This window comes from Homo sapiens, chromosome 2 (genome assembly GCF_000001405.40).
Source record: "Homo sapiens chromosome 2, GRCh38.p14 Primary Assembly".
Lineage (NCBI taxonomy): Eukaryota > Metazoa > Chordata > Mammalia > Primates > Hominidae > Homo > Homo sapiens.
The window spans coordinates 19,344,642-19,359,374 of record NC_000002.12 but is presented as its reverse complement, the minus strand read 5'-3'; the positions used below and the strand labels follow the sequence as shown (position 1 = coordinate 19,359,374).

General features: G+C 53.8%; 1 protein-coding gene and 1 non-coding gene across 6 annotated transcripts, besides 7 other annotated features; one reads left to right on the top strand and one right to left on the bottom strand.

Moving 5' to 3' along the window:
• Nucleotides 1-751: 751 nt before the first annotated feature.
• OSR1 (odd-skipped related transcription factor 1) lies at nt 752-14,501 on the top strand. 5 transcript variants are annotated; one of them, XR_007069637.1, is made up of 4 exons: nt 752-1,034; nt 5,538-6,234; nt 6,965-11,387; nt 12,627-14,501. XR_007069637.1 is itself a non-coding variant. In NM_145260.3 (3 exons), exons 2-3 carry the CDS (start codon nt 5,570-5,572, stop codon nt 7,098-7,100), a joined length of 801 nt encoding a protein of 266 aa, NP_660303.1. In that variant the 5' UTR covers nt 752-1,034; nt 5,538-5,569; the 3' UTR covers nt 7,101-7,890. The 5 variants fall into 5 exon arrangements, 2 of the variants coding, with proteins under 2 accessions (NP_660303.1, XP_006712005.1); XR_007069638.1 differs by having other exon boundaries at nt 6,965-11,480; XR_007069636.1 differs by having other exon boundaries at nt 6,965-11,683.
• Nucleotides 880-1,408: an enhancer, noted in NCBI's record as "H3K4me1 hESC enhancer chr2:19557728-19558256 (GRCh37/hg19 assembly coordinates)". NCBI's record gives its function as "activates a minimal SCP1, AML or CMV promoter by ChIP-STARR-seq in naive H9 embryonic stem cells {active_cell/tissue: H9 hESC(naive)}" and the evidence as "EXISTENCE:reporter gene assay evidence [ECO:0000049][PMID:30033119]".
• Nucleotides 2,074-3,038: an enhancer, noted in NCBI's record as "H3K27ac-H3K4me1 hESC enhancer chr2:19556098-19557062 (GRCh37/hg19 assembly coordinates)". NCBI's record gives its function as "activates a minimal SCP1, AML or CMV promoter by ChIP-STARR-seq in naive H9 embryonic stem cells {active_cell/tissue: H9 hESC(naive)}" and the evidence as "EXISTENCE:reporter gene assay evidence [ECO:0000049][PMID:30033119]".
• Nucleotides 3,039-4,004: an enhancer, noted in NCBI's record as "H3K27ac-H3K4me1 hESC enhancer chr2:19555132-19556097 (GRCh37/hg19 assembly coordinates)". NCBI's record gives its function as "activates a minimal SCP1, AML or CMV promoter by ChIP-STARR-seq in naive H9 embryonic stem cells {active_cell/tissue: H9 hESC(naive)}" and the evidence as "EXISTENCE:reporter gene assay evidence [ECO:0000049][PMID:30033119]".
• Nucleotides 8,796-8,865: an enhancer, noted in NCBI's record as "active region_15364". NCBI's record gives its function as "activates an Ori minimal core promoter by ATAC-STARR-seq in GM12878 lymphoblastoid cells {active_cell/tissue: GM12878}" and the evidence as "EXISTENCE:reporter gene assay evidence [ECO:0000049][PMID:35858748]".
• Nucleotides 10,870-10,946, bottom strand: MIR4757 (microRNA 4757). The gene has a single exon (NR_039914.1). It is a non-coding gene; the product is annotated as a microRNA 4757 (primary transcript).
• Nucleotides 11,189-11,318: an enhancer, noted in NCBI's record as "active region_15363". NCBI's record gives its function as "activates an Ori minimal core promoter by ATAC-STARR-seq in GM12878 lymphoblastoid cells {active_cell/tissue: GM12878}" and the evidence as "EXISTENCE:reporter gene assay evidence [ECO:0000049][PMID:35858748]".
• Nucleotides 11,369-11,638: an enhancer, noted in NCBI's record as "active region_15362". NCBI's record gives its function as "activates an Ori minimal core promoter by ATAC-STARR-seq in GM12878 lymphoblastoid cells {active_cell/tissue: GM12878}" and the evidence as "EXISTENCE:reporter gene assay evidence [ECO:0000049][PMID:35858748]".
• Nucleotides 11,789-11,848: an enhancer, noted in NCBI's record as "active region_15361". NCBI's record gives its function as "activates an Ori minimal core promoter by ATAC-STARR-seq in GM12878 lymphoblastoid cells {active_cell/tissue: GM12878}" and the evidence as "EXISTENCE:reporter gene assay evidence [ECO:0000049][PMID:35858748]".
• Nucleotides 14,502-14,733: the final 232 nt, after the last annotated feature.

Sequence of the window (14,733 nt, the reverse complement as noted above, 5' to 3'; positions counted from 1 at the left end):
ATTGGGGTGAAATCTCAGAGAGTTCTGGGCCCCAGGAAAATAACTTTCCTGACCTCCTTTCCCTACTCTTTGTTCTTTCTACTGGACTCCAGAACTTAGGGTCTGGGGTCAACCATAAGCACTCAGATGTTACAGCTCGCTTGCTTCGGTGACCCTGGCCCTCCCGCACCAGGAATTAACCAGCGCTGCCTGGGTTAACACCCTGGCCCCGAGCACGCTTGGATAGCCAGGAGCTGCTCCACACTCGGGGTCTGCCGCCTCTGGAAAGAGATTCTGGGAGGAGATGCGACTCTGTCAGGCGCCAAAGTGCGTTGAAACCCAAGCCGCGGTGTGGGGATCCCGGTGCACAGAGCTACTGCCCCTCCCTCCCTCCTCCCAAAGAGCACGGGCTGTGTCCTAGGAGCCCAAGTATAGGACCTCGAAACGTGCGGTGCCAGCCCGCTCTCATCTGCTAGGGACCGTTTCCTCCAGTGCGCCAGGCGTGCCGCTCTGGACCTAAAAAGGCAGCAGGGGTCGCGCGGGACTGAAGAGGAGGGGACGCAGGTTGGGAGAGGCCGGGTCCAAGCGAGAGCAGCTGCCAAAGTCTGCTGCCCGGGTCAGCAAAAACTTTGTCTTTCATTGCGCAGGCGCAGGGCAGGGTTGGGGGGCAGGGGAGGGAGGGGAGGAATCCTGAGGCAAGGGGCGGGGGTGGGGGTGGTGGAGGAGGGAGGGTGGTGGATTAAAATAAGTAGGCGGCTCGGTGCTAAGGGATGAGTGAGTCGGAGCTCGGCCTCTCCCCGGCACGTTCTCAGCTGCTCCTGGTTCAGACCCAGCGAGGGAGCCGCGAGCGAGGCTCACCGTCCCCGGCGTGCAGGATCCGGGGCTGCTGAGCGCTCGCTCCCGCGTGTCCGGCGCTTGGAGTCCCCGCGGCAGGAGAGGAGTCGGGACACTAGAGCTCCAGGGGCGCCTGTGGGCTCCAGGGCCTCCGGCTTCCCCAGTCCCCTTCAGCTAAAGCCCCAGAGACGTGCTCAGCCCCAGGACCTCTGCGGAACAAGGTAATTGCAGTCCTGGGCGCCTGGGCTCAGCAAAGCGAATGCGGGCAGGACTCCCAGGTTCCTTGTCACTGCTCGGCGGGTGCCTCCTCTCTCTCAATGCCCCTGAAGGAAGCTCTTGCCAAACGAATGCTGTAGGACTTTTGTGAAAGTGAGAGCAGGGTGGTTGGGGGTGCTGCCTCAGGACTTCCTGCGCGGGGTCCTCGGCCTCTGACCGCTGGGGATTAAGGGGGGCGGGCCTCCGCTACTGCGGCCAGCCCGCCCGGCTCTGCGGAATCACGGGCGAGGTGCCCACGGACTTTGAAAGTCAATCTGTGGGCCCCCTTTAAGAAACCAGAGCAACTTCAGCGGGCACAAACTTTCCTGAGACGCGCTCCTAGCTCTGGCTGACGCCCAGGTTGACGAAGAAGGAAGGGAGAGGGAGTGAATGGCCACAGCCGCAGCCGACCGCGCCAGGGACAGGTGCATGCCCCAGCTCGGTAGCGCTTTCGTTCAAGTTTGTCTTTTGAGGAGTTGCGCTCTAGTATGAGGCCGCCTAGACCCGAGAGCGCAGGGCTGCGAGTCTGAACCCCGCCTTGCACTCGCGCTCTAACTTAGGGATATTCTCCATAGGATGATTGCTCTGTGTCGTCAAGGCCTGGAGCGGAACCCTTGATTGTCCTGGTGCAGGGAGGCAATGCAGTGGGCGCAAGCACTGCTTTCCAATTCGAGACCCACACACAGCACTAGTGGAAACTCTGTGGAGCCCTAGGGTCTCCGGGCTGGGGACAGGAAAAGTTCTGTTACTCCCCTGACTGTCCGCTAATCCAGCCGTCAGGAGAGAAAGAAGGGGGAAAGGGGTGAAGGGCTGCCTGCTGAACTAATTTCTCCTCGGAAATGTCTCGGAGAAGAATGAAAAACCACGTTTAGTCCTTTTTCAGCAGCTCAGGCAGTAGCGGGTTGGGTTCTCAATGTGTAAAGTAGCCGCAAGGGTTTCTTTGTTGCCACAATTTGGTAAATTTCACCCAGGCTAAGAGCTGCGCATTGGCTCTGCGGAACAAAACCACGTGCAAGGCTAGGTGTCCCAGGTTCACAACCCCCTAGGGAAGAGAAGCGCTGGAGGGGACTAGCAGCGACCGGCGGCGTGTAGATGTTCCATCCCAGGCTCCTCGAGGTAATTGCTGTTTTATTAAGATTGGGGAATGGATCACCGAGGACGCAGCGGACATTTAAGTGCAGCCGGATGACCGCCTTGCCAATGGGTTCGTTAGATCTCGTTTGTTGGGAGAATGCTATAGAAGTATCCGGTGCCGGTCAGTCCTCTTCACGGGGGTCCGGACGCCTGTCACCACTCGTTGGAGATTCGATGTCAAGGCTGATTTTCTTGGGTTGCTGCTGGGCTCCCCCAGGCGCAAACTCGTGGAGTTCGCTCCCGTTCTCATTAATGCAAGCAGTTAACTTGCTCACGCTCAATTAGCCCCGAATAAACCACTTTAATAGACTCTGCACACTTCATTAATGCCCAGCATAGGACTGGCCGCAGACCTGGGATTGGCGCTCCACCGCGCGAGGGACGCGAGTGCCCGCACTGCGCAGGGACTCGGGATCCCGAGCGCGAATTGCGTCTGCTGTGCGTGGTCGGGTCCCCTTATTCTTTCCCGCAGGTCCTGAGGCCCAAGCTGTTTGAGGAATGGGTGCCTAGCCTGGGGAAGGGTTTTCCATCCTGTGTTTAAAGATCGAAAGTATTCGCCCTGGGGTTCCGCGGTCTGGGAAACCGGAGCCGGAGGAGCCGGGGGCTCACTCATCCTTTCTGGCTGGAGAGGCTAGGGTGAGACTGTGTTTTTCTCTTAACCGACCTCCTGAAACCGGATCGTGCTTTCGGCCCATTCTTGATACTAGTGTAAAGAGCCACGTTTCGAATGAATTTCGTCCTGGGGAAAGTCGTTGGCGGGAGCCTGGGGAGCACTGGCTTCCGAATGCTTCAGAAAACAAGGAACGGGCTGGGCCGCGGAAGAAAATAAATGTAGTGTTGGGGAAAACAAGATCGGGCAGATAGCCCGGAAAGGTTGGCTCCCAGGAACCATTATAGCTGCAAGCACTCCCCCTTCCCGGCACCCCCTACGGAGCCCAAGACGGCTCCGGTCTTGGCTCTAAGGAAGAAGGCGAGGAAAGGCCTAGCGAGGTTGGTGGTTTCTCCCACCCAGGCACGGAGCGGGTTCGGGACAGTGTGCAGGCCAGAGTCCCACAGCCACGGCCGCTGGCTTGGCCTTGGATAGGCCAAGCACCCAGAGGAGCAGGGGGAGGCCTCCGCGGCGCCCAGCGGGGTCCGGGACCCGGAGATAAGGATCTGATTTCCAGCGCCTGGAAGGGAAGAAGAGGTGACAGCAATTCAAAGAGCGCTCATCCCTCCTAAGTCCAGGCCGACCTTTGAAGTTAGACAGGCTTCTCCTCCTTCCCCTTCCCCAACCCAAATGGGTCTCAGCTTCCTCTCTGGCCCAATTTGAAATTTACTTCTCCTTGTGTCCGAGCTCTGGGATAGTCTCAATTTGTCCCGGGCACGACCCGAGCTTGGCGCAGTAGAGATGACCGTTGCTGAAGCCACGGCGCTGCCAGCGGCACCAGCGCTCTGCTTCAGAGGCCAGATCACGCAGATAATATGCCTCCTCTTGCCCTGAGGCTAAATTCATTGCAACGGTTTTTATCCGAGTGCTAATTTAAACTGCGCAGGCAAATCACGGCCAGCTCGTGGTGTTTTTACACCCCATTCCCAGGAAGGCCTCTTTCCTTAGGTCCCACCACACAGCCAGTGGCCCCCGTGCCAGCTTCCAGGAGAAAAGGTTTTCCTGGGTCAACATTGCCCTCATACCTCCTGGGAAAAGGCACTGCACATCCCTGGACAGAGCCAGGCTTTGAAAGCCTCGCTGCAGCGAAAGGCAGAGGAGTCTATGCCTGGGCCTTGCCCTGGGCTGAGGGTCAGCTCAACCTGGGGAGGGGGCACGCCAAACTAGGGAGCAGAGCAGAGGCCAGTGCATCCCAGGGAAGGGGAATTGCTCCATGTTAGAGGAAAGGACCTAGGAAGAGGAGAGTAATGAAGGGTAAAGGAAGAAGTCAACAGCAGGGGATTGAAGCTAGGCAAGAGAGAAGGGAGTCCCACGGACCCTGCTGTGACAATGACTTCTTAAGTAGCCCCAAGCTAAGAGCCAGGAGTTCAGTGCTTGGGCTTCCCAAGGCTCCCTGACAGTTTAGACTTTGCTCACCCTGTTCTTTCCTCCACTGGACACATCTAAATTAGGAGTGTCTGGGAGGTAGAGATGAAAAGCATTTTGCAGAGCTCAGATGTCTCCACGGAGGCTGGAGACCATGGCCAAGGAGGTCTGGAGATGCCAACCCCTGGTCACTTCAGTGTGGCTTTCCTCTGGCCTTGCTCAAGCTCTCCAACCTTGCACTTGGAGGTACATAGACCACAGGAATGGAGGCCTGGCCTCAGTGTTCTTGCCCATAGGCATACCCACCTGCCCAGGGCTCACAACACACAAGAACATGCTGACAACCCAAAGACTCAGCTCCCTTTTTCTTTGGGGGAGTGAGGGCACTAACACCCCCTTGTTTGTGACTGCAGTTGTTTGACAGAGTAAATGAATGTGGATATTAGCAACCTCCTTGAAAGCAAAGTGGTCCCCGAGGGCTAAGGCAAGGCAGAGAGTCAGTCCACAAGCAGCTGCAGAGAGAGTGGAGCCAACAGGTTTCACTTACACTAAGGCAGGGAAGCAGATTTAAGGTCAAAGTTGAGGGTTTTGAGGAGAAAGATGACAGGGCTTCTGGAAGCCAAATCGAAGGTCAGCCAGAAGACCTTAATGAATGGGAGCCAGGAGGTGCATGCATTTGTGCGCCTGTGTATGTGTGTTGTCTGTGAGGCTCTTCATGGGTGCAATGTGATCCCGTGTGTGTGTGTGTGTGTGTGTGTGTGTGTGTGTGAGATTCAGGGGTTCCTGCATTTTTTTAAAGCCAGTGTTGTACTATAAAACATTGGTTGTCCCAGTCTTTGCACCTTGTCAATTCTGCCTCAGAATGTCTGAATCCACGTGTGCAATTCTGTGTTTATCTGCAAATAAATGTGTAAGTATGTTCCCCAGCTCCTGTTATCTTTGCAGGAGATTGTGATTCTGTGTTGACCCGGGCTTACCTGGATGTCAATTTCTACAGGACAGGCAGTTTCCCTTTGCTTGTTCCTTTCTCAGTGTCTTGCATACAGTAGGCCCTTCCCTCTATCAAGTTGTGTGGCTCTGCCAGACGCCATTTGGAGGGAGCCCTTAGACCAAGGAGGGTTCTGAAAAGAGGGCTCCCCTGCGTCTTACATTCCCACCCTCTTTGTGAGGGCAGTGGGTTTTGGGAATGGGGTCTTAGACTCTTAGCTCCTGCGCTGGGTGTGAGGAGAGGGTGTGGCTCGGCTGGAATTCAGGAGGAAGGCGACCCACCCTGAACTTCTTTATTCCTCTCCACGCCCCTGCCTTCTTCTTTTCTTTGCAGATCCGGATTGAGAAGCCACTGCAACTACCGAAATGGGCAGCAAAACCTTGCCGGCGCCGGTGCCTATCCACCCTTCCCTGCAGCTCACCAACTACTCCTTCCTTCAGGCAGTGAACGGCCTGCCCACAGTGCCTTCGGACCATCTGCCCAACCTGTATGGTTTCAGCGCGTTGCACGCTGTGCACCTGCATCAGTGGACGCTGGGCTACCCGGCCATGCACTTGCCGCGCTCTTCTTTCTCCAAAGTGCCGGGCACGGTGTCCAGCTTGGTGGATGCGCGCTTCCAGCTGCCCGCCTTTCCCTGGTTCCCTCATGTCATTCAACCCAAGCCCGAGATCACCGCTGGAGGCAGCGTTCCAGCGCTCAAGACCAAGCCGCGCTTTGATTTTGCCAACCTGGCCTTGGCAGCAACGCAAGAAGATCCGGCCAAGCTCGGTCGCGGGGAGGGCCCAGGCTCCCCTGCAGGTGGGCTGGGTGCCCTCCTCGACGTGACCAAGCTGTCTCCAGAAAAGAAGCCCACAAGGGGACGTCTGCCTTCCAAGACCAAGAAGGAATTCGTCTGCAAGTTCTGTGGCCGCCACTTCACCAAGTCCTACAACCTACTTATCCATGAGCGGACGCACACCGACGAGCGGCCCTACACCTGTGACATCTGCCACAAAGCCTTCCGGAGGCAAGACCACCTGCGAGACCACAGGTGCGGCACTGCGGGTGGCGCAAGAGAGAGCTCTCTGCCTCTGGCCTCACCATCTTTCTCCCTAACGAGGTTCTTGAGACCCCCTACTGGCTCCAAGCCTCTGGAGCTTCAGGGAATTCTTTAAAATCAAGAAGGAAAGCCTAGGAGATCCAGGGATAGGTTTTGGAGCATGGGTTCAGGAAATGTGGGAATAAAGAGGACCCAAGATTAAGTGAGGTCTCCGTGAGCTCCAGACAAGCACACAGCTTCCTCTGCCCCACTTCCTCCATCCTCAGGGGTGTGACATGTGACACATGTGACAGTTAAGTATTTGAAATGTCTGAGAAACTAATTTAGTTTTATTTAATTTTAAGTAATTTTAATTTTAATAAGCACACATGCTAGCGGCTACCATCTTCGACAGCGCAGGTCGAGCAAATTGTCCGACCCCAGCTCCCTTTACTCATCTTCAGTGTTGACCTTATAAGGAGGCCAAGTTTGCCCCTCCTGCCCACCAGGAAGGCACCTTAAACAGGTGGCTGAACCTGTTTAAGGATCAGACTTTGCTAAAGCATCTCCTTTACCTCCCCACTCCATCCCCAATTAACATTTTGTCCCATCCACACTTGGTACCTGACTATACACTTTTCCTTTGAGGGCAAGTGCCCCACAGCAGTGGGAGGGGATCTTGGGCAACTGTTTATAACATTGCATCATTTTGCAAGGATGAACTCTCTGTTTCTGCCCTCAGATATATTCACTCCAAAGAGAAGCCCTTCAAGTGTCAAGAGTGTGGGAAAGGATTCTGCCAGTCCAGGACTCTCGCTGTCCACAAGACGCTACACTCACAGGTGAAGGAGCTCAAAACCTCCAAGATCAAATGCTAAATAGAACCTGTGGGTCACAAGGACCCTAGGCCCAGCGGCCCTCTCCTCCATAGGGACCAGAAGCCTGACTCTGGCGGGCAGCGGGAGAGGCGCTCGCTCGGGACCTTCCACCTCTCCAACATTGTCCCCTGGGTCCCTGGCGCACGCGGCACTTCAGAGCCCCGCCCGGGGCCGCGACCCCGACCGTCCCTGCTGCTCCCCTAGGACGCGGCTAAACTCTTGGCCAAAAGGCGGTACTCACGTGGCGGAAGGGAAACTGCATTAAAAAAAGAACGAAAGCTCCGCGGAGCCGCAGCGGCGCCTCTCCCAGAAGTATTACTTTTTCTATTGTTATTTTATACGTTTTCTTTTTTATTTTTGTCTTTGACCATATAAGCTTGTAACTCTGACTGCGGAGAGTGAGTGGAGAGAGGAGAGGCAACGAAGTCCTTAGCACTGGCAGCTCCCACCTCCTCCTCCCGCCCCTGCCCCCACCCCCGGAGCCTGCAAAAGTGTAATCCCTGTATCTGCTTCAGCCTCCTGCCCTAGGGACCGCGGGGCAGCCCCCTCCCAGCTCTTGCAGCTCAGCTGGCGGCCGTGGGCTCCGGGACTAGGAGAGCGGGACGGGGACCTCGGGCCTGGGGTCTGCAGGGGGCCCGGCCTCCGCTGCCGCGACACTGCGAGGGAGCAGCCAGCCAAGAGCCGGGCGTTATATTGCGATTGGCACTTTATGCTGACCATCGGTAACGGACATTTATCACTGGAGTTTTTTTTTTTTTTAACTATTAAATAAACGGTTATTTTACAGGCATTGCAGGATGGGTAATTTCCCTCCTAAACGCAGGAAACCGGTTGGGTCCTCTCTTTGAGAGGACCAGGTTTCTCTGCTGGACGCCAGCGTGTCCCCCTCCTACCACCCCGTCTTATTAGGATGACAGGGCTGAGATGTGTGGAGCAACGTCCTCTCTCCCGGTTAGGTCTGCCTCCGCCCCACCATGTATTGATTTTCCTACTTTTCTCCTCCGCCTCAGGGATAGGGTCTCAGCCTTCCCACTCCTCACCGCTAAAGTGCTGTGAGTTTACGAAGAACCTAAGCCTGAAGGCAGAAAACCGCCCGTGAGAAATCCCAGAGTCTCTGGGTGCTGAGACAGCGTCTCTGGGTGCTGAGATCGCTTAGGGTGCAAGAAGAGAAGAGAATGTCTTTCCCCACCCTAACCGAAGGCCTCCCTCCTGGCCTCTGGCTTTGGGGTGGGAAGGACCCGCCCTCACAGAGCCTCAGAGCTGTAATATTTCCCGTTCCCCGGGTCTCAACACTCGGGTGCAAATACACAATGACCGCTGCCTCCCCGGAACCCCAAACCAACATCACTCCCTCCCTTAGGGTCCCTCAGACACAATTCTCTGCTTGGGACTTGTCCCCTCCTAGGATCGAGGCTCTGCACCCGCGAAGATTCCCTACAATTTTAAAGCCTTGTCAGGAATGGTGGGGGCGGGCGCCCTGGGAGGCCCGGGACGCTTAGGAGGAAAAATTCGAGTCCGCCTTCCATAAGCTGAACCTTCCCTGGGGTGTCTAGTTTTCCCACAGTTAGAAGCCAGGCCGCCGGGGCTCTTCTCCTTGGGGCAAGGCGGGGCTCCCCCCAGCTCCAGCGCCCTGACCGCGGGACCGCGCAGGCGGTGGCGCCCGCGGCCTTTCCCAAGCGCAGGATGGCCTCTCCAGCTTCAGCGCCCGGAGCGCGGCGGCCGCGGATGACAACTGGACTATAAGCTTCCCTGCTGCAGGCACCAAAAATCCCAGCCTCAAGCCGGGCCCTGCTGGCTGAGAAAGCGGCAGGGGATGCAGAAGTTAAAACGCTCTGGGCTTTCACCACCCCATCCCCACCTCCTCCGGGAACGCTCCTGAGTCCTGTGCGGGCTAGAACTTCGAGGCCCGGGAACCCAACTGGGCACTGGAGGCTGGCCCTGCCGGCGCGGACCAGCCCTGGCCTCCACGCTCAGAGCCACGCTGCCCCCTGCTGGCCAGCCCTGGAGGGGCGGCCCAGGACTTGGCACCTCAAGGGGTCTTGCCCGCAACCTCGCGAAACCACCAAGCATCTATGTGTTTGGTCCCAAAATCTTGACTGGCCCCAGGACCCACTGTGGATGAGGGGCAGGGCGCTGCTGAGTCTGGTCTGGTCTGAGGGATCTTCATTAGTTGGGCACTATCCCAATCCTTCTTCCAAGCAGTTCACAAGGTCGCGCGCGGCCCAGGATTATGCCCCCATTCCTGAGAACTGGGGCCTCTGAGTGCGTGGAAGTGGGGCTAGCCAGTAGGTTTGCGGGTGGTGTAGACGGTCTGCGCCCAAGCGGCGCACGCAGGTTGTGGTGTGGTTTGTGCCTGACCATAGCTTGTACTAGGGTCAACTGCAGAATCTTCCTTGGTTTCTTTATGAAGCCCCAGGAGGCTGCGGGCCATGGTTGCTCCAAAACAACCAGAGTGCATGGGTGAACACACACACACACAGGGTGCCCTTCCTAGTCCCTTGGCTCTTTCTGGGATGCTATCCTTGGGGTTGTCTATGGCTGCTCTTCCCTAGCCCCTGACATCCCTCCACCTCCCAGAACACATCATTCCACCTCCCTGAAGATCGAGCCTCTGCAGTTCCCGGGGCCTCAGGAAGCTACAAATGCGGTGAAATGGGGAGGTTTGCCAGCCACGTTAATCCTTTTTGGGTCACCCCACCTCCAGCACTGTGAAAACCCACCCAGTCCAAGGTCTGCAACTGAATGTCAGTATCAAGTGTGCATCCTCAAAATAACAGATTTCCAGTGCAGAATTTTAAATTGGGGATGGGGAATGGAGGGTGGGACAGGATGATGCGCAGCAACTCCCTGGCCCTCTCAGAATGCCCCTATTTGCTCTACTGATGTTTGCTGTTATCCCGGTGGACTCAGAGATCACGTCTCCCTGCAGCTTGTTCTAGTGATTCATAGACTGTGCAGAAACAGTAACTACAGGTGGAAAGGCCGGCTGGGCCTGTGGGCCATCCGACCCTATCCAGGCTACAATTCCCAGGTGATGTGGTTGGTTGATGTGGTTGGAAACTAGTGCCCCAGTTTCCTGCTCATACTCAGTGTGGGTTGCACAAAAAGTGCAATTGAGAGGGTCAGAAATGTTGGGTGGGTTTCCTTGCCTGCCCCAATTTTTCCCCCAATGCATCTCTAGAAAGTCCCAGCTCTTGTCTCCTCTCCAGACCCCCATCACAATAAGCTTCGCTGGTCCCAGTGACTGTGTGGCGCTCAGCGTTGCTGGGGCTATTTTTCAGGAGAAAAAGAGGCCGATGGTGCTGGCCAGGTGGAGTTCAGCTGGGGCCCTTCTCAAAGCTGCTAGGCCTGAAGTTTTTGTGTACGGCTGGGGAAGCTATCTGGCCTAGGACAGCCTCTTGGGCAGGGAGGGCGGAAGGTGCCAGAGACCCTGGGCACAGCCCGGAACTGCCAGATGCTGTCTCCGGTAAGATATCAGGTGCTTCCAGGGAAAAGAACAGCTTGCAGGAGCTTCTTCCTGGGAGAGAGTGTTTCAGGTTCTACCCCCTATTTCCAGAGTGTAGTTAGGGGTTAGGGACCCACTAAAAAATGTTTTCCCGCGTACTTCCTTGCCGCGGAATTCACTGCTCACATTGTGGGGAGGGACGCAATGTGATGCTCTGGGACTCCCTGACGTGACCTCAGCTCCCAGAACCTGAGGACCTGATATCCTAAATCCCCTAGAATCTTGGTGTCCCCATAGCCGGCTCAAAAGAGTCCCGTCCCACCTCTCAGAGCGCGAAGCCTCTGTGACGTCATGGTCTCCTCCCGCAGACACCGTGACGTCACAGAGGCCTCGGGCTGGAACACAAGGCTTGAATGAGGTCCACAGAGGCATTCCATTACGTAACTTCGTGACGTCACAGATGGGCCCCGCCTCGGGCTAACATATCCACACCTCTCAGCCCCGCCCCGCCCCGCCCCGCGAATCGGCCCAGGCAGGCGCCACGAATCGGTTCGTCTCCACTAACACGATCCGCAGACCCGAAGCGTTGGCAGCTGTCCTGAGTGAAGGGCGGTGCCCTGCAGCGTCCTCTTCTTGAATCAGTGGTTTAGAGTGGTCTCCCTGCCCGCGGGGTTTCAGGGCAGCAGTTGCCGCGGCGTACTCATCCCACCCACTTCTGCGCCCACTATGGCCGCGCCCACTGCGGCCCCGCCCTCCTCTCCCACTGCGCAAGCGCCACGCGCAGGCGCAAAAGGAACTCGCAGGCCAGTGCTGCTGGTGCCGGAGTCCGGAAGCTGACGGCGGTGCGTGGAAATCGTCGCGGAGTTCAGTGTTTTGCTTTTGGGGATCACAAACTCAGGGGCACACTGGCCCGGCGGGCGCATCCAGCCGTTGGCGTATGTGTGGGCAGAAAATGCAGACGAGAAAGTGGGTGGCGCTTGGCTAATGCGGGCTGGAGCCCTTGACTTGGAGTGCCCAGTCCAGCGCCGCGGTCCTACAGAGGCCCCTGGGATCTGAGCTGGCGAGGGTGGCGCGGCGGGTCCTACCCAAGGCCAGAAAGTTCGCTGCGGTCCCAGCTCTTTTGGGCAGCCTCTCTGAGGTAGAGCTCTCAGACGGTCTTCAGCCCGGTGGAACGCCCTGGTGTCCCACTCCACCCGTTCATCCCGACTTCCTGGGCCGTCTCTAGAGCCCAGTTGGTAGTTGGGCCCAGTTGGCATATGTTTCAGATGAAAAATTCATTACGGACTTGAGATGCTAGGTTGGAGACAAATCTCATGTCAGTGGCAGAGAAAGAATTCGAAGCTGTGCTTTCATTGAGGGGAAGGGCCAGAAGACCCAGCTCTAGGTTTTTCTGACAAGCACAAGTTTTGGGGAAGTCCCTGTGCTTCACTAGCCTCAGTTTTCTTCCTATAATGGGGGTAGGGCTTTTCCTACCTACCTCATTCACTTTGTGTAGAGTTAAAAGTAATACACATTTTGCCAATAATGTATTCACTGCTTGAACCAAAAACTACCCTAATGTGTTGTAGAACAACTTTGGCATGTATGAAGGCCTTGTAAATGTTGATGATGATGATGCTTAGAAATGCCTCTCAGCATTTTGACGTAGCCTGCCTCCCAACCTACTGTATTCCCAGGAGATACCACCCCCATCTTTATTATAACAGAGGCATCCTGAAATGAAATGAGAGAGGAAGAATATCACTGAACTGGTGGACTTCTTGAAACCCCCGGCAAAAAGCCTTTTTTCAATGACGTAGGGAGCAATGGATTAATCAGTTCACAAATTGTTATGTTTGGTTGGGATGATGTGTCATGGCCCTATGTCAGAGCGCTACTCACCACACGTTTGTGGAACCCAGGGAGTTAAAAAACAACCTATGGCGACTGAGGTGTGGAGCTGGGGAAGGAGCCTATGTACGTATGTGGCAAGTGTGACTGCAAAGATAGGGAAGTGCTTAAACACAGGCTTGCAGAGTGAAAGCTTCCTTGTGGATTTGTGTTTTCTTATGATTGATTGATTGAAACAAGTTCTCCCTCAGTTGCCTAGGCTGGATTGCAGCGGTGCGATCAGGACTCATTGCATCCTCAACCTCCCCGACTCAAGCAGTCCTCCCACCTCAGCCTCCTGAGTAGCAAGGCTACAGGTGTGTGCCACCACGTCTGGTAATTTTTTCTACTTTTTTTGTGTAGAGACGAGCTCTTGCTATGTTGCTTAGACTGGTCTTGAACTCCTGGTCTCAAGTGATCCTCCCACCTTGGCCTCCCAAAGTGCTGGGATTACAGGCGTGAGGCACCATGCCTGACCCATTTGTTTTCTTTGACTTGTGTTAGAGCATCCTAGTCTAAAGAAAAAGTGGCCACACAATGTTCTTTATGTGGACTTCTGCAGGAATGGTCCTCTCACCCAGTCACCCAGTCCTGGCAATTTGCTGCCATTTTTTTTGGTCATTTTTCCTGGCTAAGTCTAGTTCCAGCTCCAGAGATTAGAATATGAAAGGATTAACCCCCCAAAATGGGATGGAGGGATGAATGAGTTGAAAGTTTTTGTTTCCCTTTTCCAAACACTGAGTTGGCTCTCATCAGCACAGCTGTCTCTGGGGATGTATAAAGCGTAATTAATACATTTTAAATGTTTGGTTTCAACTTTTTTTGCTAGTGAGATAAGATAAGGAGTTTTTGTCATGACAAGGGAAGGGGTGGATTTCTTTCTATCATTTGCAGGAGTGGGTACCACTTGGATCCTGTAGGTAGACAGTTGCATGAGATGATAAACTTTATAGGGGGCATGGAAGAAAGCCAGTGGAGATGGGGAAGGAATGGCTAGACTCTTTAGCTTCCTGACAACCAGAGGGGGAAAATGAACTTCCAGAGAATTTGGGTTTTGCCTTAAATATTGAAATTTGCTTGGGCATTTGGTCCACTTCTTAATTAACCTGGGTCCAGAACTGAATGTCTTTGCAGTCGGAGCTCAGAATTGCTTTGGTATCTCACAGTACACATAGCATTTCCCTGTTGGTGTACGGTAGGCCAAGGACCAGAGCATGTGTTGTGCTGTAGCCAAAAGGAATAGTCTCCATGACCTTATCGTTGGAGAGATCATTGGACACTGAAATAGTTGAGCATGGACACTCTAAGATGGGTGGAAATACTAGAAGAGTTATTATTAGCAGAGGGATCTATGTATCCATAAGATCCATATTTTTAATTATAATGTTCATATCTTCTATATTCTTTTTAATAAATGGTGCTGGGAAAACTGGCTAGCCATATGTAGAAAGCTGAAACTGGATCCCTTCCTTACACCTTATACAAAAATTAATTCAAGATGGATTAAAGACTTAAACGTTAGACCTAAAACCATAAAAACCCTAGAAGAAAACCTAGGCATTACCATTCAGGACATAGGCATGGGCAAGGACTTCATGTCTAAAACACCAAAAGCAATGGCAACAAAAGCCAAAATTGACAAATGGAATCTAATTAAACTAAAGAGCTTCTGCACAGCAAAAGAAACTACCATCAGAGTGAACAGGCAACCTACAAAATGGGAGAAAATTTTCGCAACCTACTCATCTGACAAAGGACTAATATCCAGAATCTTTAATGTCTTGATTTCTTTACCTGTTAATTCCTAACTGACACTTTAGTGTGTATTAAAAACTCCCGCCGTGATGGTGGAACTGTCATTTTCTTATTGTAGTTCCATCAAAGATATATAAATTATATATACATATATACAAAAATTATATATATGTACACACATATACATGTATGACTGTTTAAGCTATTTACATTTATTGTGATGTCTATATTGCTGTTATCTTCTACCATCTCACTTTATGTTTCTAGTTGTCCAACTGTTTTAATGCCCCTTTTCTGACTTCCTCTGAATAAAATGATAAGCTTTCGCTTAATTTCTTTAGTGCTTACTCTTGAATGTTTAATATGTTTACTTAGCTTAAAGTCTCAATCAGTAACATCACTTACCTTTTTAATAATATAATAAATACAGCAACTTCGGTCACACCTGACCAAGATCCCAGTTTATATGTCCCACAAAATTCATTAGGCTCTTTACCCTCACCACCCTTCTCACCACTCCTGGGCCTTGGCTGCTCACCTGAGGCATTGCTTCCTTTGGATTTT